The sequence below is a fragment of the Homo sapiens genome, chromosome 10 (assembly GCF_000001405.40).
Source record: "Homo sapiens chromosome 10, GRCh38.p14 Primary Assembly".
Taxonomy (NCBI): Eukaryota; Metazoa; Chordata; class Mammalia; order Primates; family Hominidae; genus Homo; species Homo sapiens.
Genome location: NC_000010.11, coordinates 108,751,366 through 108,779,195, shown reverse-complemented (window position 1 = coordinate 108,779,195; position 27,830 = coordinate 108,751,366). Strand labels below are relative to the sequence as shown.

The 27,830-nt window shown below is 37.7% G+C and overlaps 1 long non-coding RNA gene across 1 annotated transcript in view, besides 1 other annotated feature; it reads right to left on the bottom strand.

Annotated features, from left to right (window-relative positions):
• LINC02661 (long intergenic non-protein coding RNA 2661) overlaps positions 1–27,830 on the bottom strand; it is a 132,148-nt gene that overhangs the window by 61,491 nt on the left and 42,827 nt on the right. The window contains exon 3 of the long non-coding RNA NR_187538.1: positions 17,577–17,627. This is a non-coding gene — a long non-coding RNA (long intergenic non-protein coding RNA 2661). The remainder of the gene's footprint in view (positions 1–17,576; positions 17,628–27,830) is intronic.
• Positions 23,905–24,074: an enhancer, noted in NCBI's record as "experimental_9758 CRE fragment used in MPRA reporter constructs". NCBI's record gives its function as "activates a minimal promoter by MPRAs in K562 erythroleukemia cells, with activity observed for the non-introgressed 10:110514965 variant allele {active_cell/tissue: K562}" and the evidence as "EXISTENCE:reporter gene assay evidence [ECO:0000049][PMID:34662402]".

Sequence of the window (27,830 nt, the reverse complement as noted above, 5' to 3'; positions counted from 1 at the left end):
ACCTGACAAAAACAAGCAATGGGGAAAAGATTCCGTGTTTAATAAATGGTTCTAGGAGAACTGGCTGGCCATATGCAGAAAACTGAAACTGGACCCCTTACTTACACCATATACAAAAATCAACTCAAGATGGATTAAATACTTAAATGTAAAACCCACAACTATAGAAACTGGAGAAGAAAATCTAGGCAATACCATTCAGGACATAGACATAGGCAGAGATTTCATGACGAAGATGCCAAAAGCAATTGCAACAAAAGCAAAATTTGACAAATGGGATCTAATTAAACAGCTTCTACACAGCAAGAGAAACTATCATCAGAGTGAATAGATAACCTATAGAATGGGAGAAAGTTTTTGCAATTTATCCATTAGACAAAGGTCTAATATCCAACATCTATGTGGAACTTAGGCAAATTTACAAAAATAAAACCCAACCCCATTAAGATGTGGGCAAAGGACATGAACAGATACTTCTCAAAATAAGATATACATGCAGCCAGGAAACATGAAGAAAAGCTCAACATCATTGATTATTAGAGAAATGCAAATGAGATACCATCTCACACCAGTCAGAATGACTATTATTAAAAAGTCAGTAAACAACAGATGCTGGAGAGGTTGTGGAGAAAAAGGAATGCTTTCACATTGTTGGTGAAAGTGTAAATTAATTCAACAATTGTGGAAGACAGTGTGATTATTCCTCAAAGACTGAGAGGCAGAAATACCATTCAACCTAGCAATCCCATTACTGGGTATATACCCAAAGGAATATAAATTATTACATTATAAAGATACATGTGGCTGGGCACAGTGGCTCACACCTGTAATTTCAGCACTTTGGGAGGTCAAGGTGGGCAGATCACTTGAGGTCAGGTGTTCGAGACCAGCTTGGCCAACGTGGTGAAGCCCATCTCCATTTAAAAAAAAAACATATATATACTCATATATATATACACACACACACATATATATACATATATACATATATATGCACATATACATATATATGCACATATACATATATACATATATACATATATATACATATGTGTGTGTATATATATACATATATATGTATACATATACATATATATGTGTATATATATATACATATATGTGTGTGTGTGTGTGTGTGTGTGTGTATATATATATATATATATATATATATATATAAATTAGCTGGTCATGGTGGTACCTGCTTGTAATCCCAGCTACATGGGAGGGTGAAGTGGGAGAATAGCTTGAACCCAGGAGGTGGAGGTTGCAGTGAGTCAAGATCATGCCACTGCACTGCAGCCTGGGCAACAGAGTGATATTATGTTTCAAAAAAAAAAAAAAGATACCTGCACGTGTATGTTCATTGCAGCACTACAGTGAAGACATGGATTCAACTTAAATGCCCATCAATGATAGACTGATTAAAGACAATGTGGTACATATAGACCATGGTATACTATGCAGCCATAAAAAGAAAAGAGATTATGTCCTTTGCAGGGACATGGATGGAGCCGGAACCATTATCCTCAGCAAACTAATATAGGAACAGAAAAACCATATCCACGTGTTCTCACTTATAAATGAGAGCTGAATGATGAGAACACATGGATACATGGGGGCAGGGAACAACACACACTGGGGCTTGTCAGGGGACAGTAGAGGGAGGGAGAGCATCAGGAAGACTAGCTAATAGATGCTGGGCTTAATACCTAGGTAATGGGATGATCTGTGGAGTAAACCACCATGGCACACGTTTACCTATGTAACAAACCTACACATCCTGCACATACATATACCCCTGAACTTAAAAGTTGGAAATTTTTTTAAAAAGTAAATAATGTAACTGCACCAGGGTTTGCTGAGGAATCTGTCATTATTTCCAGACTATGATACAACGATGACATTTTTGTACCTTAAAGAGGGCTTCTAGGCCTTGACTGTGTGTGTGTGTGTGTGTGTGTGTGTGTGTGTGTGTGTATGACAGAGAGAGAGAATGTGTTTGCTGGGGGAAGTGTTACCAGTGAAACTGATTCCCTTCTGTAGTACCTTATAGATATATAGAAAGAGGACTCAGCCACTCTTGTGGTATTAAAAATGCCAGCCAGCAGCTAGTAATTTTGTTATATTTTTCAGCCGTATGATTTTATATGTCATATAGCTAAGCAGCATTATGCCAAAGACCATATTTGTTGACATTGTTAGAAAATGTTGTAATAATGAGGTGCTTGAAATGATCCCCCTTGGCCAGGCACAGTGGCTCAGGCCTATAATCCCAGCACTTTGGGAGGCCGAGGGAGGCAGATCATGATGTCAGGAGTTCGAGACCAGTCTGGCCAACACAGTGAAACCCTGTCTATACTATATATATATATATATATATATATATATAAATTAGCTAGGTGTGTTGGTGTGCACCTGTAATCCCAGCTACTCAGGAGGCTGAGGCAGGAGGATCGTATGAACCCAGGAGGTGGAGGTTGCAGTGAGTCGTGATGGCACCACTGGACTCCAGCTTGGGCAACAGTATGAGAATCCATCTCAAAAAAAAAAAAAAAAAGAAGAAGAAGAAAGAAAGAAAAAGAAATGATCCCCTTCCCTCAGTACTGGAATGCACTTGGGTATTGGATTGAAAGAGAAGTACAAAAGAGATTCTTTCCTAACCTTTTCTTTCGGAAAACTCAGGAAAACATTGAACTACTAATGCATTAAAAATCTATAACAAACATTTAATTTTAAAAACTATGAATAAATGATCTAAATCTATTCTAAGCAGTTTTGTTTACCCTGGTATATTAATTGTGGTGGCCAGAAGGAGAGAGTGGAGGGCTGCCTGGAATGCTTTTGACATCCTGTTCAGCACCTGTACACCTTCACCCTCTCTCCCACAAGCTGAAATGTATAATTGTCATGCCTTAATCATGAATTATGCATGACTCTTGATTGTGGTTGGATATTTTGACCTGTAAATTCACAGATGACGTTTTCATTTAGCAACTGGGAATTCAAATTTATTTATTTTCATTTTTCGCAGATGTAATACCCTTCCTGGGAGAATAGAGTATTCCAGGGCCCTTTGAATTATAGATGACATCTGGGCTGTCATTCAAAAATGAATCTAGGGCTCTCACTTCTACTGCAGGCATTGAATGAGAAAGGAACAATTCACATATTGCCAAGTTGTCTAGAGCTCATAATTTTATATATTGCAATATAGAGATACCATCTCATGTCAATCAGAATGGCAGTTATTAAAAAGTCAAGAAACTACAAATATTGGCGAGGCTGTGAGAAATAGGAATGCTTTTAACACTGTTGGTGGGAATGTAAATTAGTTCAACCATTGTGGAAGACAGTGTGGCAATTCCTCAAAGATATAGAACCAGAAATACCATTTGACCCAGCAATCCCATTACTGGGTATATACCCAAAGAAATATAAATCATTCTGTTGTAAGGATACATGCATGCAAATGTTCACTGCAGCACTGTTCACAATAGCGAAGACATGGAATCAACCTAAATTCCCATCAATGATAGACTGGATAAAGGAAATGTGGTACATATGTACCATGAAATACTATGCCATAAAAGGGAACGGGATCATGTCCTTTGCCATAAAAGGGAATGGGATCATGTCCTTTGCAGAGACATGGATGGATCTAGAAGCCATTACCCTCAGCAAACTAACACTAAAACAGAAAACCAAACAACTCATGTTCTCACTTGTAAGTGGGAACTGAACAATGAGAACACCTGGACACAGGGAGGGGAACAACACACACTGGGGCCTGTTGGGGAGGGCAGGGGCAGGGAGAGCATCAAGTTAAAACGCTAATGCATGTGGGGCTTAATATGTAGATTATCAACTGATAGGTGCAACAAACCACCAGGGCACATATTTACCTATGTAATAAATCTGCACATCCTGTCCACGTATCCCAGAACTTAAAATTAAAAATAAGTAAAAAAAGAAAAAAAATCAACCCAACAAGGCAGGTTAGTAAGATGAGCAACACTTGAATGAAAGTGTTAATATATGGTGCATTTCCAGTTTTTATATCTTTTAACCTAAAGGTGGGTCATGATTCATGTGAGAGGATCAGCTAAAACTTCAATACAATTCCTGAAATTTCTCTGGCCTGAAGAACCAGGGGAAGAATTTGGAACAACCTTAGCTTACAACCACTAGAAAATGAGGGGAGAATCCCAGGGACAAGACAACCAGAGAAAGAACAAAAACTATTGCCTAAATCTCCATTTCTGAAACATGCAAATGTGTAGCGAACTGCAAATAGCCAAGCTACGGATAAAAACTTAGCTGAGATTTTAGCTACCCCAAAGACATTTTGAGGTTCAGTCTAACTGACTTATTGTGTGTTATACACACACACATTCCATTTAAAGACACTTAAAATAATAAACGTATAACATTCACAATGTGTATAATGTGATAAAATTACTCTACATGTGAAGAAAGAGAAAAATGTGCCCCATTCTCAAAACGAAAGATTATCAGTATATAGTGACCTTAAGATGACAGAGATGTTGGAATTAGCCAGCAAGGATTTTATAAAATGTTATTATAAGTATATTCAGTGAAATTAAAGACAATATTATTTTAATAGATGAAAAGTAAGGAAAATCAGCAAACAGAAAGTGCGTAAAAGAGCCCAATAACATTTAGAATTGAAAAATTTAGCAATATGAAATTAAGGCTTAAAGACTTGTTTAATTTCATAAAGGACATGAAAAAGTCAAAAATCAAGATCATGAAACAATAGAAATTATCCAATGACACAAATATGAAAGGAAATAAAAATAATCCATAAAAGTCAAAGACTTACAATCATATAAGAAAATATCAAATTATTTAACATATATGTGATTTGAATCCCTGAGGAAGAGTGAGAAAAATAAGTAAAATGTATCCAAAGAAATATCTGAAAACATCACAAATTGCAGAAACATAAATTTATAGATTCACCAAAACATCATGGTAGATCTGCTGAAAAACAAGCAAAATCTTGAAAACAGCCAGATAAAAATGATACACAGTGATAAACAATGATTTGAAAAATGTTTTAAAACCTCTCATTAGAAACTATAGAGTCCAGGTAATGATGCAACAGTCACTTGAAAGTAGTGTGTGTGTGTGTGCTCACATGTGCATGCATGCACGTGTTTGTAGGGAGACAGTAGATATTGTCATATTGGTATATCTGGCAAAAATAAGAATGAAATACATATATTTCTTTGGTAATTTTTATCCAGCTGTTATATTGTGAAATATATATTTGGTCTTTGATCCTGTTTCCTGGCATACAATTTCTTAAATCCTTAGATGCCCCAAAGTAATGTCTTTTGTTCTCTGATGAGTTTAATGATGTCTGGCAGCCCCTAGGTAGCTTCAGAATGGGGGTTGGTCACTAGAAAGAAGGGACGATTAGAGGGCTTAGACTTTCTGCCCCACTCCTGAACCTCCAGGGAGGGAAGAGGGGATGAAGATTAAGTTGATTATCAATAGATAATGGTTTAATCAATCATACTTAATGACACCGTCATAAAAAAACCATAAGGACAGGGTTCAAAGAGCCTCCAGGACAGCTGAACACATGAAGGATCCTTGAGGATGGCATAGCCAGAGAGAGCATGGAAGCTCCACACTCCTTCTTCCACACCTTGCACTGTGCATTTCTCATATGTATCCTTTGTAATGTCCTTTAAAATAAACTTGTAAATTTAAGTATATCCTTGAATACTTTGAGCCACTCTAGTAACTTAATTGAACCTAATTACATGAAGCAGGGGGTGTGTTTTTGTGAAGAGGTCATGGAACTCCCAGTTTATAGCCAGCCGGTCAGAGAAAGAAAGATAAAACAACCTGGAGCTTGTGACTGGCATCTGAAGGGGCTGGTGGGCAGTCTTGGGGGCTAAGCCCTCAACCTGTAGGATCTGATACTACCTTTGGGTAGATAGTGTCAGAATTGAACTGCATTCGAGGACATCAAGCTGGTGCCCCGTGCAGAACTGATTGCTTGCTTGATGTGTGACCACACATCTGGTCACAGAAGTCTTCTGTGTTGGTTGTAGTGGTATGAGAGAATAAAACACTTTGGGTTTGTTTTTTGTACTCTCAGACCATCATATCTGCCGTACAGTAAAGCATAGTTTAGTTAAGGAGCAAGAGTCACAAAACCAGAGGATGACTCAGTTCTTTAGAAAATAAATGAAGACAATTTGGTATGGTAAATACAACAGAATATATTTACTTCTCTTACTACTGTAGAATATATAGAATGTTAAAACATGTTATAACATTGACTTGGATGTTTATCACATCTGTAAGATGAGAAAGATTGGAGAGTTAAAGGATCTATGGGGTTGCACAGTTTCCACATTTTACATGAGGTGGTACAATATTGACTCAGAAATCTGTGAAGACTTAAAAATACTTTTTGTATGTCCCAGAGAAACTTATCTTTAAAAAGAGTACAAATGGACATGAATAAAAATCATCAGACAAATTAAAATGAAATTCTAACACTTTTTCAAGTAATACAAAAGAGGTAAGAAAGGAATAATAAGGAAAGATAAGAAACAATAAAGGTGACAATAAGAAAACAGTAAATCGAGCAATATTCATACATACTGCATTAAGTGGAATAGCATATGCAATCCATAAATATCACAGAGATTATTAGAATGATGGAAAAGAACCAACTCTGTCTTGTCTATTAGGGATATCTTTAAATATTCAGACACAAATAGGCTGAAAATAGAATATTATACCATATAAATGATAATCAAAATACATCTGAAGAACCTATATTAATAGCAAATAAAACAGTCTTCAAAACAAAGAAATACTAGCAGAGCTATTTCATAATGTCAAAGTATGAATTAGGAATAAAATCATAAATGTACATGTGCTTAATAGCAAAATTATATGAGGCAAAAGCTGACAGATTTAAAGGAAAAATAAACATTTACAATCTCAAATGAAATTTTTATCTGACTTTCAGTTATATACATAATAACTAGACCAAAAAGAAAAAAAAACAGACATAGATAATCTGAGCAATACTGTCAACTACTTTTAACTAATTAATGTTTATAGAACACTGCACTCAAATGCCAGACAAAATAAATATATCATCTCAGATATCTCGGTATTTAGTCATTGGTTTCTCTATTTTAATAGCTTCCTTTTATCTCCTGAGTTTTCACATATGATTACACATAATGATCTTATTTTCCTTTAACTTTTTTAACATACTAGTGATAGCTATTTTAAACTTCTTATCTGCTAATTCCAATGTCTAGATCATCTTTGAGCATTTTTATCCTTATTGTCATTTCTCTTGGTTTATGTGTCGCACTTTATTGCTTTATCATTTTTTAATTTATGTTGGAAATTGTGGATGTTGCATTGCTGAGAGTCTGCTTGCTGTCTTCTATTAAGAAGTGTTTTTTCTTGCAGTTATTTAAATTTTGACAGATCAGCTTGCTCTATCTAAGCTTGGTCTTAGGCTTTATAATGTTGGAGCTAAATAGTCCTTACCTAGAGCTAGAGTAGCCCTGCTCTTTAAGGTCTGGCTTATTGGATTTTTAACATATTTATTGGGATGGGAAGTAAGATTGATCTACTCTGAATGCCAATATCTCTCAACAGTGTACTGTCTCTCAGTCCAAAGTAGCTTTTTTATTCTGCCAGGCTTCCTTGGTTCTCACTTGCACATATGCAGCTAATTACTAGGTCAAAGTCTCAAGGGAACTCTTATTTAAGTTTCTCAAGGTCTTTGGCAATTAAGGTTCCTTGTCTATGTAACCTTGCCCACAAAATGCAAATAGCCACAGCAGCTCCATACATCATTTCTGTTTCTTCCATTCATTGAGACCAAAAGGAATGAAGGGAAGCTCTATGTTTGGCACTCACTTCTCTGTATGGAAAGTGTCTTAAGTCATGGAAAATATAGAGCTCACCTCATTTCTTTCCTTTGCTCATGGATCAGAGTCCTATGCTTTATCTTACTCAACATCTAAAAACAGTTTCTTCATAGTTGGTCTGGCTTTGTAGTTATTTAAAGAAAGAGGTTAGATCTGCCGTCTGTTGCTCTGTCATGGCTGTCACTGGAATCCAGATGAGCAATTTAAAAGGAAGTAGAAATAAGTATGATTAAAAATAAAACAAAATAAAATTTGTATTAAATATGTATCAACTTTTCATTGGTTGAAGAAGAAAAAAATATGACGTTAGAATGGTATATTACAAGTAGGTACAAATAATCATATCTTTTCTTACCCTTGTCATGCTTATGCCTATTGTCTTTTTATAGCCATTGTTCTAGTAATGTGTAGTAATGATCTGGAACTAATGATTCAGCTAGTGAGAGCTGACAAACCTGCATATCTAAAATAATAACTAAATGAAAAACTCTCTATGATACGTAGAACATTTTATTTTTTCATTTTTTTATGGTGTAATATATCATGGAATGTCATTGGGTATGAGTGCTTTGTTTTATGGGTAAGGTTGAGGAAATCTGTCAGAAAAGGATATTCAATCAAATAGCCCATCATTGAAGAACATAAGGCAATGGAGGACAGTGAAGGAAAATTTCTAAATTGACTATGTTATTGTGACAAAAGTTCTGTTCCCTGAGGATTATACTTCTTGGTTTAGCATCCTGAAATTCACACAGCATATCAGCCTGTGTATTCAAGGTCAAAAATAAAGAAGAAAAGTCAAAAGAAATAACTTATTAAATGATATTATGGGCCAATTTCATGGTGGTATTTTGATAGAAAGTTTTGAATTTCATCAGAAGGCAAAAACTGTGGGACCAGATTGTGGTTCTTTCAAGTCAGGGTATACAGAAATCAGATTTATTCTTGAGCATCATTAGGGCCTTAAAAAAGAGAGTGCTCAACAATGACTGACATATGTGAAAGATTGAAGAGAATTGAAGGTAAAGATAGGATGGGTGGTACCATAAAACAAGGCTAATGTTTGTAGACTAGGATCCCAGAATAATCATTTTATATCAGAAACTAAATGCATAAAATTGATATGATATGGGGGTGGGTCATATTTTGGTCCACAATATCACTGAGTCTCAGAATTTAGCTCTGAAAGGGATTTGAGGAGTTGTGAAATCTAACCCTCGTGTTTTACACAGAGCATGCGCTTGTGTAGAAGAATCATGGAAATGTCAACTCTGTTAGTAAATGACCTTATTTTATCTCCCTAAACTTCATTTTCTCACCCATAAAAGTGGGTGATGGTATCTACCCAATAGAAGTTGTTAATACAAATCAAAATGGGTTAGTGTCAAGGAAACATCTTTCCTGGATTAGTACACTCTAATGCAAAGGTTGGTACACATTTCATGCACTACATATGTAAGCCTTAAGTCATTCATTTAGTGCCTGATATCATTAAGGGAACTTGTCATATCAGTGACGATACTTTATTGGATGTATATTTCAAAAGAAAAAAATACTTATTCACATAGGGACAATATCTATACTCACAGAGTCATCACTCATTGATTTAAGCCTTCATTTAAGGTGACTAGTCCTAGAAGAAAAAAAAAAGGTACACTTCCACAAAACTCATGGAAGTGTCACCCTCTCCCTTTAAGACAACTAAGCTAAACAAATAATAAAGGTTGTCCAGCAGTTTTCTTATCAAAGTCATTCAAATTACAATTTATAAAAACTATCGAGCATTTGCTGAACTTTTTTTTCTATTTTTCAGAGGAGTAAATGATTGGTCTAGCTGGGAATTGGTCCCAGTAAGTCTGATTCCAGAGTTCTTGTTCTTAAATATTTTATTTCGCTATTGCTTCTAGGGAGGGTCAGTTGTATTGGAAAGGATTACAAACCAAATGATTTGTTCTCACCTCCTGAGCCAGTTTTGGTTCTGTAGACACAGAGTGATGAGGAAGCTTTCACTGGGCCATGTGTTGGAGCTCCTGGATTAACTTTGCTGGACTCCTGCTCCGGGTATGCATGGAAGCAAGACCCTTCTCATGCCTACCCTTAGTTAAGCCCAATAAATTGTGTTGGGAAAAATACTGGAAACTTTGATCAGATGCATTCAAATTATTCTTTGCCTCATTGATGCTGATTGCAGCAGAAGGTGGGAGAGGATATTTCATTTGTTAGATATGAAAGTAGGGATGAGGAGGGAAACTGAGCCAATTTGGTTTGTGCTTTTCAAATTTTTAGGAGTCATTTTGGGTTGTCATTCTCAGATGAAGAAATAGCTTTACCCTTAATGAGAACCAGAGGAAGAAAAGAACCCATACGAATTCTGTATTCAATTCCTATTTTCCACCATGTCTCCCTACCCAAACTGTCTGAAAGCTACATAAATGCCAATTGTTTGCAATAAACCTGTATTCTAGCACAAGGGCAGCATCTTTGAATCCTCACAGGACAGGTCTCAGAGTTTTCCTGAGGGCTCAGATTAAGTAGAAACACCAACAGTAGCAAATTATGCCTGAGAATTTCAATATGTATAGTCAGAGATATTGAGTTTTCTCACAATATAGTCTGGAGACCAAAGAATACTTGGGAAATGAGTTGGAAATGCAGCTTCCTATAAACTTTTCACCATCAAATTCTGATTTAATTTCAGTAGCTCTGAGTGGAGCCTGGGAATCTGATTTTTAAAATAAGTTTACTAGGTGTTTTTTACTCAGGTATTGCATTAGTCGCATTAGTCCATTTTCACACTGCTATAAAGATACTACCTGAGACTGGGTAATTTATAAAGGAAAGAGGTTTAATTAACTGATAGTTCTGCTGGGCTGGGGAGGCCTCAGGAAACATAATCATGGTAGAAGGGGAAGCAGACACCTTCTTTACAAGGTGGCAGGAGAGAAGTGAGCGAGGGCACAGGAAAAACTACCATTTATAAAACCATCAGATCTCATGAGAGTTCACTCAGTATCATGAGGACAGCATGGGGGAAACCGCCCCCATAATCCAGTCACTTCCTCCCAACAGGTCCCTCCCTCAACACCTGGGGATTACAATTCAAGATGAGATTTGGGTGGGGACACAAAGCCTAACCATATCAGGTATGTTATGCCAAAATTTGAAAAAAAAAAAACCCATATGTATATATAATTTGTTCTCTGGTGTGTGTTAGTGTGTTTGTGTTTGCATTAAAAACGTTACACAGACCAGTAATACGAAAAGGCATACATTATCAAAATAAATGGTATGTAATTTCTACTTAATATCTTATATTGTAAATACTTTCTCTTAAAGTTGTGGCAATGTTTCAGATCATTTTATCCTCTTGAGGCAATTTTACATCTGATTTTCACCATTTCATGTGATCTAAATGAGAACATAGGCACCATGCTGATTTAAACTTCGAGAAATTGAGGACCAGCAATGTTAGAATTGCTTGTCTAAGCCAGTGGGGGATGGTATTGCTAATCATGGCTCTGAGACCAGGACTATAGTTCATCTCAGTCTCCTTGGGGGATGGGCCTGTCAGTCACAGGGTGTCTGAAGAGCCTGCAGCCCCAACACACGCACACAGACTTGAAACGCTACATCCTATTCTTTGATGTCTATAGCCAAATCTAAGCCAGTTTAGCTTTGGGGCAGGCTTTTGTGAGCCTCCCCATTTGTTGTTTTTGGAGTTAATCACTCTTCTAAAGAAAACTGGAATTATTATCTCAATGTAATTCTTTCAATCTGCCTAGCTTTCAGGTCTGATTTCTACTCCTCTGCTGAACACCTACCACACTGACCCCTTAGGTCACAGGATGAGGACCTTATTACTTTAAGAAACACAGAAGTTACCTAATCTAAACAACTCATTTCCTCACAGAAGAACCCAGTGGCAGAGAATGTACAGACTAAAAGCCTATGCCATTGGCCATTTAGAAACAGAGCCAAGGCCAAGGTGTACATCTCTTATGCCACCACAGTAGGATAGAAGGAACCCAGACATGAAAAGCATAGCTGTCTTCGAGTTCAGCATCTTCAATATACAGACCCTGTAGTCTCAGCAACTCACCTAACCCCTCAGAGTCTCAGTTTTGTGGACTGTGAAATGAGAATAATGACAAATATCTTCTGAGGCATTTGGCTGAATTTAAGATAACATTTGTCAACAGTGGGTACTCTGTGAATGCTGGTTCCCTTCCCTTTGTGTAGACCAACTTTGGATTGAGTCTTTACTCATCTAGTTCAACAGCAGTGATCCTGCTTTTTACCAAATGGCATACTATCTTTTTTAAGGTACTCTGGCATTTTTAAAGCTATGCATTACTGCCTGTGAATCTCGTTCAAGTATTTCAAAAAACTGAGACATTATGCCCAATGAACCCAACTGACCAGCCGCTACCTCAGTGGCCTGATGACACTCTGAGACCGAGTGTCTGGAAGGAGGTGCTGCTTCACCTCCTGCCAATGGAGATGGAGTTTAGATAGCATCAAGTCCACCTGGGCCATAATTCTTACTACTTCCTCAAAGGAGGCACCCATTACCCTCTTGAGATCATTTTGGCCCCATCAAAGGAATACATGAAGGAGATAAAGATAGATAGTGAACATGTGCATAACGGTGGTGATTCCAGTAGGACTCAAGACCCATTTCCCCTGCTGTTCATTTATAGAAAATGAGAGGTGTCTTTCTTAACAAAAGACAAAATGAGTCTCTAAATTTTTTTCTGAGTCTATTCCAAAGGCTTCTTATCTACATGGTAAGTGCCAATCACGTGAAAATAGTATGATTTGAAAATATCAAATCATAAGTTTCTGGAAATGAGCTATTTGCCTACATTTTGAAGATCATCATACATGGCAGTGATTGCTTATTTTTATTTGTTTGCTTATTTGTTTGTTGGGGTCTAAGTGGTATATTAGTAGAACACTTGACTGCAGTTAAATGGCTTACTCACCATCCCTCAAACCTTAGGGCTGGAGGAAGCCATAAAAAATCACATCATCTCTCCCAGAATTTATACAAAAGTGAAAACATTTTAGGGGCTGCTGAAGCCAGAGTGAGTTTTTGCTGTAGAAAGAAAATAGAAAAGGGAGTTATCCTCTGCTGTACAGCTCAGATTTCATTTCCTGAGTTGGACATTCAGTTCAGAAAGAGAAAATGCACAGCCATACACTTACCAGTGACACCCATCATAGGGCAGAAATCCCAAGCAAAGGGCTCGTGCTGCTGCATATTCATGGATGCAAATCAGGCCCCAAGGCTGTAGCACTTGGCTCTGAGATTTCAAATCTGGGTATTAACAGGGATTCCTTCAAGGTTCTATGAATATTAACCAGGAGGGGTATGTCAAACATGCAGTGAGTGCATGTAGAAACTTTTCTTCCAGTCTATTTGAAAAATTAAGCTCTGGTTAGAAAAATGCTCCACCTTCCCATTTAGCCCCTTTGTGATGTAGGGTGGTTCAGGGCTTTGGTTTTGAAAGAGAACTGGGGAGCACTGGGCCATGGACTTTCAGAGTCACCAAGCAAACCCCATACTGTAAGCCCCAAAGGGCAGGGTAGGAACCCGGATTGTTACTGTCATATTCCCAGCTGTTAGCACAGAGTCTACACTAATACTTAATACCTACACTAATACTAATACCTAATACAGTGGCTCCCTGTATTAGGTATTTATTGCAGCATAACAAATTGCTCCAAAATTTAGACTTAAAATTACATTTATTATCTCACAATTTCTGTACATTAGATACGCTTATCACAAACATAAAATATAGGTACTATTCACGAACAGCCCTTGGCATAGAATTGAATATGCACCATCCCATTAAAACCCTCATGTCGGTCCTATGAGGTGGTCACTATTATTTGCCCTCCTTATAGGGAAGGAACCTGGGGCTTGGAGAAACTGAGTGTCTCCGCAAGTCACAGTGCTAATCCGAGTTCAACCTGGTATTCAAACTCTGACAATGTGACTCTAAAGTGTATGCATTTAGCCACAGCCTCACCATTACGTTCCTAAAATAAAATCTTCGGAGTCTCTCAGTCTGGAGGAATGTATGCAGGTATTTGGGCTCTGTAGGCATGGCCTAGCTGGGTCCTCCAGCTCTGGATCTTTCATAAAGTCACTGTAAATTCAAGGCTTGACTAGGGGGAAACTACTTCCTTACTGACTCGCATAGCTGTTGGTAGGATTCAGTTTCTCAGGAGCTGTTGGCAAGAAGACTTGTGGATCTCTCCATAGAGCACTTTGCAACATGGCAACTTGCTTCATCAGAGAGAGAGCAAGAGGTCAAGGAAGAGCATGCTAGCAAGATGAAAAAAGACCAGTCACATGGCTGGTATACAATTAAGCATCTTGTCTACAGTTGTACAAACTCATCAAATTGAAGACTCAGGACCAGTTTTTTAAAAGGCTGACATGAGACCTCTCTGTAATATCTTTGCACATTTTCCATAAATCAAAAACTGTTCTAAAATAGTTTATTAAAATCTTATTTAAAAGTTTCAGTGGAGATTTCAAAACTAACAGTAAATATTCTAGAAATGCAGTAGGGATGTTTTTCAATCTTATTTAATCTCCACGTAAAACTAGCCAGAAAATCTAGGTAGAAGAACTCAAAACCTATGGATCACATTTACAACCAAACCAGGTGATAAGATTATTCACAGAGCCCAAAATAGAGGTACTAATCAAAAACACAAAGTACAGGTACTAATCATGAACAGCCTTTGACATAGAATTGAATATGCAACATCCCATTGGAACCTTCACCTCAGCCCTATGAGGTGGGTACTAGTATTTGTCCTCCTCATAAAGAAGGAATCCATGTTTTAGAGGGCTGAGTGTCTTCACAAGTCACATGCTAATCAGAATTCAACCTGGTATTCAAACTCAGGCCATGTGACTATGTATTACATAAGTTTAGCCATGATCTCTTCTTTTGTGTTCCTAAAATCTCTTAAGTCTTACGGTCTGGAGGAATGTGTGCAGGTATTTGAAAACAGAAACATACATGGGCTGTTTACAAAGCCTCAGTGAACTCAGATTACTTTGATGCTAGGACCTAAAAGCCAGAGAATTGCTCTCAAGACTGGATGTTATTTTCTTCTTCCCATTTCTTTCTTTGTTTTCCATTTTTTTTCCCCATCAAGAAGGATGTCTGACTTTGGGAGCCTGAGGGAGGAAAATTGTTTGAGCCTAGGAATTTGAAACCAGCCTGGGCAACATATGGAGACCCATCTCTACAAAAACAAATTTTTAAAAAATTAGTTGAGCTTGGTGATGCACACCTGCGGTCCCAGCTACTGGGGAGGTGAGATGGCAAGCTGAGGTAGGAGAATCACTTGCACCCAGGAAGTTGAGACTGCAGTTAGTGGTGATCACACCACTGCACTCCAGCCTGGGTGACAGAGCAGGACCCTGTCTGGAAAAAAAAAAAAGAAAGAAAAAGAAACGTCTGGAACATTTGTATTTTTTCTGTTGAGTTTGGAATTTGAGTTATCATACAGCTTTTGGTGCCCAGTATTCTAACATCAGTCCAGTGGACTATTTTTATTTCAGCCCAAGTTTGAGAGAATAAGATAATGGTAATGTAAAGATGGCTGACTTTATTTCTTCTTAAAGAATATTATACTTCTGACGATTTGTGGAATTTTGCAAATTTAGCAAAATTTGTGCTTGGAAGTCCTACCACTTCTTAATGTACTGAGTCTTCTTCATCATCAGCTGGGGTTCCATGTTCCCCAGAAATCTCCTCTCATCTCTAGTATCCTGATTCACATGGAGATATTACTAACTTACTGTTTTACCATTTAATATGTACCAAGTGCCAGGAACTACATTAATATCTTCTCATATTATCTTTTATTCTTTACTTCACTCTTACATAGTAGAAATTTTTAGTCCACTTGAATAATAAACTATGGGTCAGAGAAAGTTATACTGTGTCCCACAGGATTCAAAATCATGTCTATTTAGTTCTTAGGACTCCAGATGATCACTTCTTTTTACCTGGTAGAGGACATGTGTAGTTCTTGGCTGTAGGCACCCAAGACTGATCCTGATGGAGGATTAGCAGGCATCTCCCCTCACTACCCTCCGATATGAGTTGAGTGTTTTTCAGTATTGGATGTGCCATTCACTCTTATTGAGAGAACAGCTTTCTATCAGAGATTCAGAGACTCTTCAGGACTACTTCTTTTTTGGGAAGGATTAGCCAGCTGCCTTCTACTAGACTTACTAGGAATCCCTAAGATAGAATCAAGATGCCCTATCGGAGGAAGGGAAGGTCATTTTATTGAGAATTTATTGTACTTTAGGCTATTTGCTAACCTTTTTCAGACCTGTCTCACAAGAATCTTCTTCCTATTTTCCTTTATTGTTCTTAAACCTTTATAGAAGTTGGGATAAAGTATATGGGTAGAATAAATAAAAACAACATAATGTAGTGGTGGAATATTAAACATTCTTGGCTTTTTCATGATTATCAATACAAAATTGAAGCTTTTTCTGAATTTGATAACTGCGAAACTTCTTAACATCTGCCAAACCTGGAAGTAAAAGCATTTTTTCTGACTTGTCTTTTAGATGATACTTTTAAACAAATTTTCAGTGTTTACTTAAGGCACTCTTTTTATCTGTCTTGTCCCCTTGCTTTGAAGATAAGAATTACATGGTTCTGAGTTCTTTTATTTCCACCTTTCCTGAAAGGTATAGAAAGAACACAGAAGGACTAAGCACTTGTCACAGTATCCTGGGGTTTGAGTCACTCAGCAATTTTATAAGGTAGATCTCTCAAAGAAGATCAAGGATTGCAAATAATGCCTCCCTCTTATTTCTAATTTGGAATGCATTAATTATTTCTCACCTCCATGTAGAATACTATTTGAGGAAGTCTGTCACTTTTTAGAATTTCTACAACTCAGGGCTTCAGATGGTTACCATCTGTAGCATTGCGTCAGATTGAATGAATTGCTCTCAGACAGATTTCAAGTCCATTAAGTTCTGGGGAAAGATCATTCAAAGGGCCTTAAGATTAACTGATTTTCTTGTCTTCGAAGGAAACAAGTGAACATTTAAACAGAAGGATGTCAGCCAGTTATAATCCATAAATCTGTCAGCAAACTGTATCTAGCATGTTCATAAAATTAGACAAGACTTTTTCCCCATTTAGTGTCATTTTCAGTTACGTACTCTGCATTATACAGAGATCAACTGTTTCTTGGTGGGTAGCCTATCTTTTGGAAGTCTGGGGCATGTTTTCTTCCCTTGTCAATTTGTTTCTGATTTGGTGCGTAGGGTGACATTTGGTCAGACATCGGGTTAAAAAATTAATCCGAAATAGGTAAGTGCAAACCAATTTCCGTTATAACCAATGAGAAGTAATTCATTCTTTTGACAGCTCACTGATCTGTACTGATTTTCCTAACTAGCTGAAACACTTTGTGATTCCTCGTTTTAGAATTTTTATCCAAGCTTCTCTACCAGTTATGTAAACTTCTCTGAGGGAAAACGTTAGTTTCACCTTCCTTAAATGAATCTATGTTGTTTTCCTGATATAAATCACCCACACAAACATGATGATAACCACCACTTACCTTGTATCTCATATTGAGGGTCACCATGCACCATTATTGAAGAGGACAGAGCTGAAAAAGTAAATTGGAGCTGAAATCCAGTCTACACTCAGCTTGACAAATTGTCCAGCAAGAAAAAAATGCTACATTTTTTCAAACTCATGGCAGAAATTGTACTGGAAGCTGCATGGACACTATTATAGTAGGTCTATTCCAAATCTATGTAAGTTAGATGTCACTATCCTAGTTTCACAGATGCAGAAACTGAGTGTCTTAGAAGTAAACTAGTTCTCTCAGGGTAACACAGTCAGTAAGTGGAGGAGTCAGATTTAAACCATGGTCTTCAGGGCTGTCCAGTCCCTGCTTATTTCCCCTGAGCTGTGAGGCTCCTACTGCATTAGCAATAGACCTACTTGGGAAAAGGCACTGTCTTCACTGAGCTGGACTACATTTAAAATGGCTGTCCCATGACCCTTCCAGTGGTTATGATGCTTTTTTTATAGTTTCTCTGGGCCATTCTCATAACATTGGCCAGTATGGATGTGGAAATTTAGGAAAAAAACAAGTTTGTGTTCAGTTGGTTCTTCCAGCTCTTTGCTTGCAGAGTGAACATGAGGTTTCTCTCCTAGTTAGGTCCATATTTATGGTAAGAAAGACAAACAAGCTCAAATAAAAGGGGCAGTTGGAGGGATCATTGTACAGCCACAGAGAGTTTGCAGGACACTCTGAAAACAGCTCGACACTAGGCCTTAGGAAGATTAAGAATCAAATATCTAGAAAGGCAGTTCTGCTCCATAGTACTCTCTTCATTTCACCTTTCCCTGTCTTCTCTGGGTTAACTCTCTGCAAATGTACTTTCTTCTCTGTCTCTCTTCATTCCCTTTTTCCTAGATTCTACTCATTTATAATTGTATGTGCATCTAGGCTGGAAACAGCAGCCTCAGCTTCAAGATTACATGACTTTGAAACCCCAACATCTGAAATTGCCATCTGTGTCTTCCAGTTCATATTCCCAAACTATGAGTCTCTTTGCCATTGCTTTTCTTTCCAAGACAATTTTTGGATGGTCCACTCGTAGTTACATGTCCATCTCTAAGCCAATTAAGGTATTCAGAGTGAACTGACTGAGTTATATGTTAAAATAATCACTCTGTAGGAGCTGTGAGTGGGAGGAGCCCCCGTTAGGTACATAAATAATGGGTATCAAAGTTAATCTCAAATGTGTCACAACTACTCTGGCACCAAATTGTGCTTGTCCTCAGATAGTCAACTACTTGGTAAGGGGCAATAATAGACCTGAAGTACAGTCAGGGGCCTAGTAGTCATAGTCTTTTTCCAAGGAAGAGGTTGTTATGATAAAAATAAATGAGCCCAGCAGTAAGAGGAAGAGGATGAAGTGGTTGTTAGAATTCTAAAAAATAATAATAATAATAATTGGCTCTTTATATTTTGTGGTGTCCATTCTACTACCATCACTGATGCCGAATGACTGGAAGAATTATTAGTTTGCTGAAAAAGTAATTGTATTTTTTGCCATAAAAGGAATGACAAAAACCACAAGTGCTTTTGCATCAACCTAGTCTGTAAAAACTCACCTGAGTTACATGCATGCCAGCTAAGAATTAACTCCCAGGTCTAATTTTCACCATTTGCTTTAAATCCCTCCTTTCATCTGTTTTCCTTTCTTACACACACCTTGGACTTCAAGAGAAGGTATGCTCTTGACTAGCCCTGTCTAGATTGACAAATTTCAGGTCATCCTCTTGACTCTGGCATAATACTTCCTTAAGATGCTGCTTCCAATACACACCCTGTGCTTCACCTAGGCATTCCCTGCCTTGCCTTTTATCTTATCTTTATTTATTAGTAATAACTGTGATAGATAACGTTTATTGATCATTCACTATGTCTTAGACACTGTCTTATGCCTTTTCATTATCGGACTGTCACAAAACTGTATATGGTAGCTAATATAATTATCTTTTTTCTATAGAAAAGGAGATAAAATTTCAGAGAGATTGAATATTTTACCAAAGAAAACACAGTGACCAAGATGGAATATAAACCTAGGTGTGATTAATTTTGGGGCATATACTCAAAACAATGAACTATTAACATCTACCACTGATTGAGTTTTCTGTGTGTGCATGATGAAGCTATGTCTAAGATGTGTGTCTTCATTCAAAACATAAGTTTTAATGGGGAGAAACCTTAAAATATACCTCTGGTGTCCTCATAATACAGACCAAGTTGCAAATACCAATTAAACTCTCAAATTCTTATTGTTCATCTAGACCATGCTTCAGCTATCAGCACTGTCCAAGTCGAGTTAAAATAACAGCAATTTCTTCTACTTAATTTCAGATTAGCATTCTGAGAATAAGAATATTGAAACTTGTTATTCTGAATTTTATACCCCAAAGATGGATACTACCTGGCAATCATGAGTCACTATCATTATCTTAAACAGTTCTTTCTGAAGTAATTAGAATGATTAGAGTCAAGGCATGTGATTATATGGTTCATTGGTCTGTTCCTGTGATCAATTTGCTTAATGTAATTCTAAAATTGTCCCTAAAAACATTGCTGTATTCTTTCCTTCCTCCACTTGTTAATGGATCACTATATGGTAAGAAATGAATTGTTGCATATCCCACACACAAAACCTGTGCTATGAAACTGCCTTTGTTATAGGCAGGCTTTAAAACAATATTGTCATTATTGGCTAATAAAGACCATAAAGCACCCTTCATCACCTCTGCTCAGCTTCTTCACCTTCCCAACAAGACGACCTGCAAAACATTCAGAGCACTCTGTTCTCTAGTCACTGAAATAGGTAAAAAGGGGATGTAAGAAGGGCTTTAGTCCATGTTCCACATAAGCAAACTTGGTCTGTTCGTATTCCACATTTAGCCATTACCTACATCTTAGAAGAAGACTTTAGGATTACCTCACTTTCTCCACCCCCACTTAAGCAAAACAAAACAAAAGACATATTGTTTGTGCATCTAAACAGGTGTGCGCGCACACAGACACGCGCACACACACACACACACACACACACACACTCCTTTGATTCTCATTCACAAGATGTGGGTATAAGCAGGAGATAACCCAGACAGAAAGGATCAACACTCCTGTTACTGCCCAACAGGTTCTCTTTGCCTACTGCCTAGACCGAGCTGATTTATCAAGACAGGGAAATTGCAATTGAGAAGGAGTTTAGTTCATATAGAGCCAACTGTACCCGAGACTGAGTTTTATTATTACTCAAATCAGTCTCCCTGAAAATTTGAGGATGGCTTTTTGAAGAGTAATTTGGTGAGTAGGGGTTGAGAAAGGGGGGGTGTGCTGACTGGTCAGGTCAAAAATGAAATCATAGGGAGTTAAAGCTGTCCTGTTGTGCTGTTAGTCCCTGGGTCGGGGCCACAAGACCAGATGAGCCAGTTTATCCATCTAGGTGGTACATTGGAATGCAGGGTCTGCAAAATATCTTAAGTGTTGATCTCAGGTTTTTCAACAGTGACTCCTAAACCACAATTTCTCATCTTATGACTAAGTTTTTAGTCCTGAAAAGGCAATCTAGTCCCAGGCAAGAAGGGGGTTTGTTTTGGGAAAATGCTGTTATTGTCTTTGTTTCAAAGTTAAATTATAAATCAAGTTCCTCCCAAAGCTAATATGGCTGATGCCCCAAAATGAACAAGGACAGTTTGGAGGTTAGAAGCAAGATGGAGTAGGTTAGGTCAGATCTCTTTCACTGTCGTAATTTCCTAGTTATAATTTTTGCAAAAGCAGTTTGATCCCCAGCTTTTAAATGTCTGAAACATCTGACTTCTGAGGTCTCTTTTTCTCCATTTGCCCCATTGCTACTGCAGAAAGAGCAGTGGGAGCAAAACAAACAAATTCTGGCTCTGTCTCTGTTAATTGCCAGTTCTGTGTCCTTGGGCAAATTCTTGACTTTCTTAGAATCTGTTTCCACATCTGCAGAACAGTAGTGACAATAACTGCCAAAGAAAAATTTTGTTGAACAGAATTAAATAGGCAAAGGAAACTTCATTCAAAACTATTGCAACAGGGGAGAGATATTGAAGTCAATTCTGATGAAACAAGGGCAGAAGGGTTTTTAAGTGCTGGGGTGAGCTAGGCGAAGAATACTGAAGGATGTTAGTGGGTAGATTATTCAATAAGATCAGGCCATCTGTATTTTCTAATTGGCACTTATCAAAGTTAACCCCCTACCCTTCCATAGAGATGCGATCTAGGGGAACTATCGTCCTTAATGATTACATTTCAAAAGGATGGCTTTCAGTTCCTTGAGAAAGATATTCCTGGGTTGTAAAACCAGCAAGAGGTGGGAGAAGATTTCCAACTCAAAGTGGCAGAGAAAGAATTAACAATACCAAGTTTTCTAAAGTGAATGCTCAAAGAAAATGTAGGTCAGAGGCCTATAGTTAGGAGGAGACCTGTTGAAAGTCTCATCAAGCTGAAGGAAACATTAAGACCTTTTGGTCATAATCAGCCTACCTTTTCTACATGGTTGCTGAGAGGAAAAAAGAAGCTAATAAAGATCAAATTCCCCTTAAAGTATCAAATGTATATGACAATGGGGAGGAGGAAGAAAAAGAGAAAGAGGAAAATAGCTGTTATTCTTGGTCACTGAAAATGTCTGGGACATAGGGGAAAAATATATATATATACATACACACATACATATATATACACGTATGTATACATATGCATACCTACCTACATAAATGAATAAGCAAAAAATTAGCCCCTTTTATCAAATAAGACCATTTTTCTGAAGACAGTTATTTTCAGAAAAACAACAGAACAAATAAACTAGGTTGCTTTGTTTTAGGACCTCATTTATACAGTGAGCATAGACTGTTCCCCGTTCATACGCTGTTTTCTCTTATATATTTTACTTAGGATCCAACAGATACCTGAGGATAATCCAAAAATTCTTTTTAATTCTGCTGATGATTGCAACAGTCAATCCCTACTCTTCTGTGAACTCTCTTCAAACACAAAATAATTTAATTTAAAGAAAATCCAGCAAGGCTAAATCAATGCAATCTTGGGCCTATGGTAAATAGTTGGGCAGATGAATTTAGTTATTTCCAAATCTGTACATGATGGAGAGGTCCTTCAATAAAAATACTGGGTCATCTGGAAGATGTACCCCTGTTCTACATTGATGAATGTTGGTAGATTGGTGAACTAGCTACAGGGTGGTGCTTAAGACCACAGAATTTAGAGACATATTGTATTAACTCTGGCAAATTCTATTGCCTGCCATATGGGCAAATTATTTTATCATTTGGAGGCTTGGTTTCCCTATCTAGAAATGTGAAAATGTAATAATGATCACCTCCTAAGGTTGTAATGAGAAGTGGGATGCAGTACCTAACACTGTGCCTAGCCTATAGTAGAACACCAAAATTGGAGTTCTAATGCTTTTGCTGTTATCATTAGCCTACACATTTAGCCCATCAATCATTAGCCTAGTTGATAATAGTATTGATTTGAAATGCTTAGACTTTTCATATATTTAGGACTCCTAGTTAGCCACCATCTTTCAGACAGCTCTGCAGGTCTCTTTTTCTGCTTGTGATTTTTCCAGAGAAATTGGTCTCAAGGGTTTAAAATTTTCCCAGGGGATTCCTGAAGGTCAGGGTCTACCTTGTGGGAATCTGCTCTCCTCAATGAGTCAAGACTAAGCACAAGAATTTGTGGTTTTTAGTAGATTGGAGCTTGGATCAGCAAGATGGAATTTGGTCATAGAGTAACCCAGAAATCCAGTCCTTATGGAGACATTGACCTAACTGATACCGGGTAAGAGATGCCTATTGTGTGTTCTTTTACACAAGAGATCATTTATAACTGATGAAGTTCAAAAACATCCCCATTACTCATTACCCTAGTTTAATAAAATACCTTGCCAGTTAAAATAGTGATGCATGAAACAGCTTTTGTTCCTAATATTTATCATGTGCCAAAGTAGATTTGGGAGGACACTGACAATATGAAATGAGTATCCAAGCATTTTACTTCCTGGTTTATCCAAAACCTGTGGCCTCAGTCAAAGAAGTCAGCACTGACATATAAAGCACTAGCAAGTGCAGAAACTCTCCCAGGGAAGTGTCTGCAAAGGAAGAAAGAAGCAGCTTCTATGTTCTGCCCTTTTTTGATGGAATGTACCTGTCCTCACCCTTTTTAGACTTACTGTGTGTGACAAGGCATGAAAAGGGAGGGCAGAGTTTATCTACCTGCTGCTTTAACCTTATTTGAGTGACCGCATGACAAAGTTGGGGAGAAGAAAATGCTATTGCTTCAGTGGGCATTCAGTCAAGAAATTTAGCTTAAAGATGGGCCAAGTGACCAGAATTTTCTGGCTGCAAAGATCAGATGTCAACAACATCTGAAGGTTTCTTTAGCATGGGTGGTGAAGTCCTCCACAATTTTACTATAGCTTTATCTTTCCTTGTGGTCCACCTGAGCCCTTTGCTCTGACCATACCATGTTCACCTTTGACTCCATTCTGACTTTCCTTACTCATCAACTCCTTTCTCCATCTGACCCTGCCCACCCTTGGAGACACTACTTCTGCTTTGACCCTGTCTTTAGTTGCCTCAATGCATTAAAGATCATTGACCTTCACTTCCTTTAAATACTCTATTTAATACTTTAAATAGAGTATTCTTGTAGTTAAATCTTGCAGTAATTAAACATGTAGGCTCAGGAGCCAGCTAGCCTGGGACACAAGCCTGGCTGTTTCATTTACCAGTAGAGAGGCCTTGGGAAAGTTTCTTAAACTTGGTGTGCATTTTCTCATATATGAAGTAGGGATACTAATAGTACAATAATAGCATCATTGTGAGGATTGAAGAGCTCATATTGTTTTCAAAGCAGTGTCTGGCAAAAAGTGATTTTATCTTTATATGGGTATTCTTTTTGGTAAGTGGACTGTACTTCATTTGAAGACAGGGATTATCATGTATCTCTGTTTATATCTTCAAAAACCCTTGCAGTTGGCAGACACTGAAATGAGTATGAATTGATTTAATTAATTATTACATATGGGCTTTTAGTGATTATGATGAGTTGTGAATTAGCTTTACTTTCTTTTTTTTCCTTCACTAACAACCAATAGATTTGAATACATAGCATATTTTAGGATCTGGAAATAATACAAAGGGTCATAGTTCTGCCCTCAGGTAAATGGATACATATATCCAGGAATAAATGATTGAAATGTGGAGAAAACAATACTTTGACATGGTTAAACACAGGAGCCATGGGAGCACAGACAGGGACAGATGACCCAAAGGGATCCCATGGAAGTTTTATGTATAACCAACGCTCACAACTGTAGTGGCATTTCTGACAAAGGCATTCTCCTTTCAGTACCGAGGAATATATGGGTGGTGAAACTAGCTAACCGGAGAGGTGCCCTAAGCTTTCAGGGAAAAAAAATTTTTTGGAGAAGACTGAGTCAGAATTGGCAGTATTTCTTGACACACAAGAAGAGTTCAAGTTAACCCAATTTACTTTGGCATTGTTTTTCTTTGTAAATATTCATTTAAAAAGGCAAGGGGGAGGAGAAATAACCCTTAAGTGTAGAGCTGGGATTCCTTTGGACCTCCATTGCCCTACAAAAGTTTGAGGGTATATTCAGAACTACTTTAGCTGAGTCAAATAGTTTTCTTTGTTGCCAGGTTCAGGCAAGAACCAGGCAGCAAGCCACTTATGACTTAATTACTAGGCCATATTAAACCATGGCAATTTAATTGCAATTAGTGCCGTAATAATTTATTTATAAAATGCCAGTATATGCATTTGCATTTGACAATCCATTTACTTTCAGTGTGGTACTATGTGTGTCCCATTAAATTATAAAGTGCAAGGTCATTAAACTGCAATTCCACTTGTGATCATGTTATTAAATTGCATCCTGTCCCTTCTCTGGCTGAGATAAAATTGTTAGATCATTTATCTGTAACTATTTAATTTCCCTCTGATCTTCTGAAAGCTTTTATTATTGCTAACTAAGCAGGTGTGACGTGTGGAAATCACTTGGCACTTCTTTAACATGTGGGCAGGATCCAAAATTGGGTCAGGTTGCTTTAGTGCTCTCATTTTCCTCTTATTTGCTTTTGGTCATTAGTGATTTTGGCAGTATGATACATGTTTTCATGTTCAGAATCTTTAGAGTTTTGGGGACATTAAAGAGAACACTTGGCACGTGACCAAGTGTGCCATGGATGTACTATGGAAGCAAACCACTTCCTCTGCTTCTGAAGCCAAGGTGGCACTTAGTATTGAGTGTTCAGGGTTCTTTGGCTCAGTGTTATGGATAATGAGTCTGGCATTTGTACTATAGAACTTCCCAGATAGATTCTTTCTCATGGATAAAACCTATCTTTATCAACACAGAGCACATGGACTCCTGTTCCAGACCAGCTGTCTTATGTACCTCACTGGGTATGTGCCCTAAAGACTGGATAGTTTAATACAACTTTTACTCATAAGTGAAGAATGAAATAAATAGAATGGGACTACCATTTGTTTTCCTTTAATTGATGTATTGATTCATACTGAATGTGAAAGATCATAACTCATGGTCTCTCAAATAAATTTCCTGTTAAAATTCTGTAAGAGAGATATTACTGTAAACCCAATTTACAGGAAACTGGGACCCAGAGAGAAAAATTTACTAGTGTAAGTTTGCACAATTACTAGGTGATATGGTTTGGCTGTGTCCTTACTCAAATCTCATCTTGAATTGCAGCTCCCATAATCCCCATGTGTCATGGGAGGGACCCAGTGGGAGGTCATTGAATCATGGGGGTGGGTTTTTCCCATGCTGTTCTCATGATAGTGTATAAGTCTCATGAGATCTGATTGTTTTATAAAGGGCAGTTCCCCTCACACACTCTCTTGCTTGCCATCATGCAAAATGTGCCCTTGCTCCACCTTCGCCTTCCACCAGGTTTGTGAGTCCTCCCCAGCCGTGTGGAACTATGAGTCCATTGAACTCTTTTTCTTTATAAGTCATCTAGTCTTGGGTATTTCTTCATAGCAGTATGAAAATGGACGAATACTCTAGGTAGCTGAGCTAGGATTTAGGACTGTAGGACTCCAAAATGCTTTGTGACAAATCACATATTTAAGACCCAAATATGAAGGAATGAATGTATGAATGAAGAAAGAAAGGTGTTTTTGATTGATCTCTTCTTCAAATGAATATACCCTCTTTTTTAACAGAGCCATATATATTCATCCCCAGAGTAGTGTTTTTGCTGAAGGATGTCCAACTTTGCCACTGAGATATTAGTTTAGTAGAGGATTGGTAGGATGGTGGCATTGAAGAGCACTTTGTATGAGTTTGGCTGCCAAGAGTGTGAAGAGAGAAGCAAGTGACAGAGTAAACATCTGTTTTCAGAAGACCCTTCTGCAAGAGAAATACCTCATCTGTGGAGTGTCGCAATCTGTACTTGGAGTTCATTATTGGGCATCAATGATATACTAGAGACTGTATCAGGTCCCAGACATACAATGGTGGGAACAGTATACATGACTCATATTCTCTTACGTATGTATTCATACATCTCTTATGTATATCCAAGTAAAGTCAATGAATACATTGTAAATTGAGAAAATCCCTTTCAATTCTCTACTATTCAACGCTTCTCTCCACTGTCCCTTGTGATTGGCAGAACACATCAAGTTAAGGGGCTGAGTGATGCTTCAGCTGTATCCAAGGTTATCGGATTTATATTTAGAATCTCATTCCCTCAGCACCTCTTTCAATCCATGAGTTGTGGATTCAAATACAATTTCCATTAGTCCATATTCAAAGAGGCTGACTGAATACTTTGACTTAAGTGACAGTAACATTTAAAATACCCTCAGGACCTGAAGTGATTGCCAGACTGCAGGAATCTGTGTTAGGGAGAAACAAATGCAACTAAAGTTGGTCACACTTGATGCAGATACTCTTTTTCTGGGTCCATCACAGAATTTTGCTGACTTTTTCTTGTAAGTGAGTAAATAATTGACCTCAATGAATATATGCAATCAGATTATATATAGAGGAAAGGGTCAGTTCAATATTTTATCAGATTCTGAATACCTATTGTCGAATGAGATTGGCACCGTGACTTTATTATGCTGTGTTCTAACATTAGCATTCATACATGTTAGGGTATGCCTGATTGACTAGTGAGGTGGTTTGCCAACTAGTTATCTTACATGAGACCAGGCTGCATC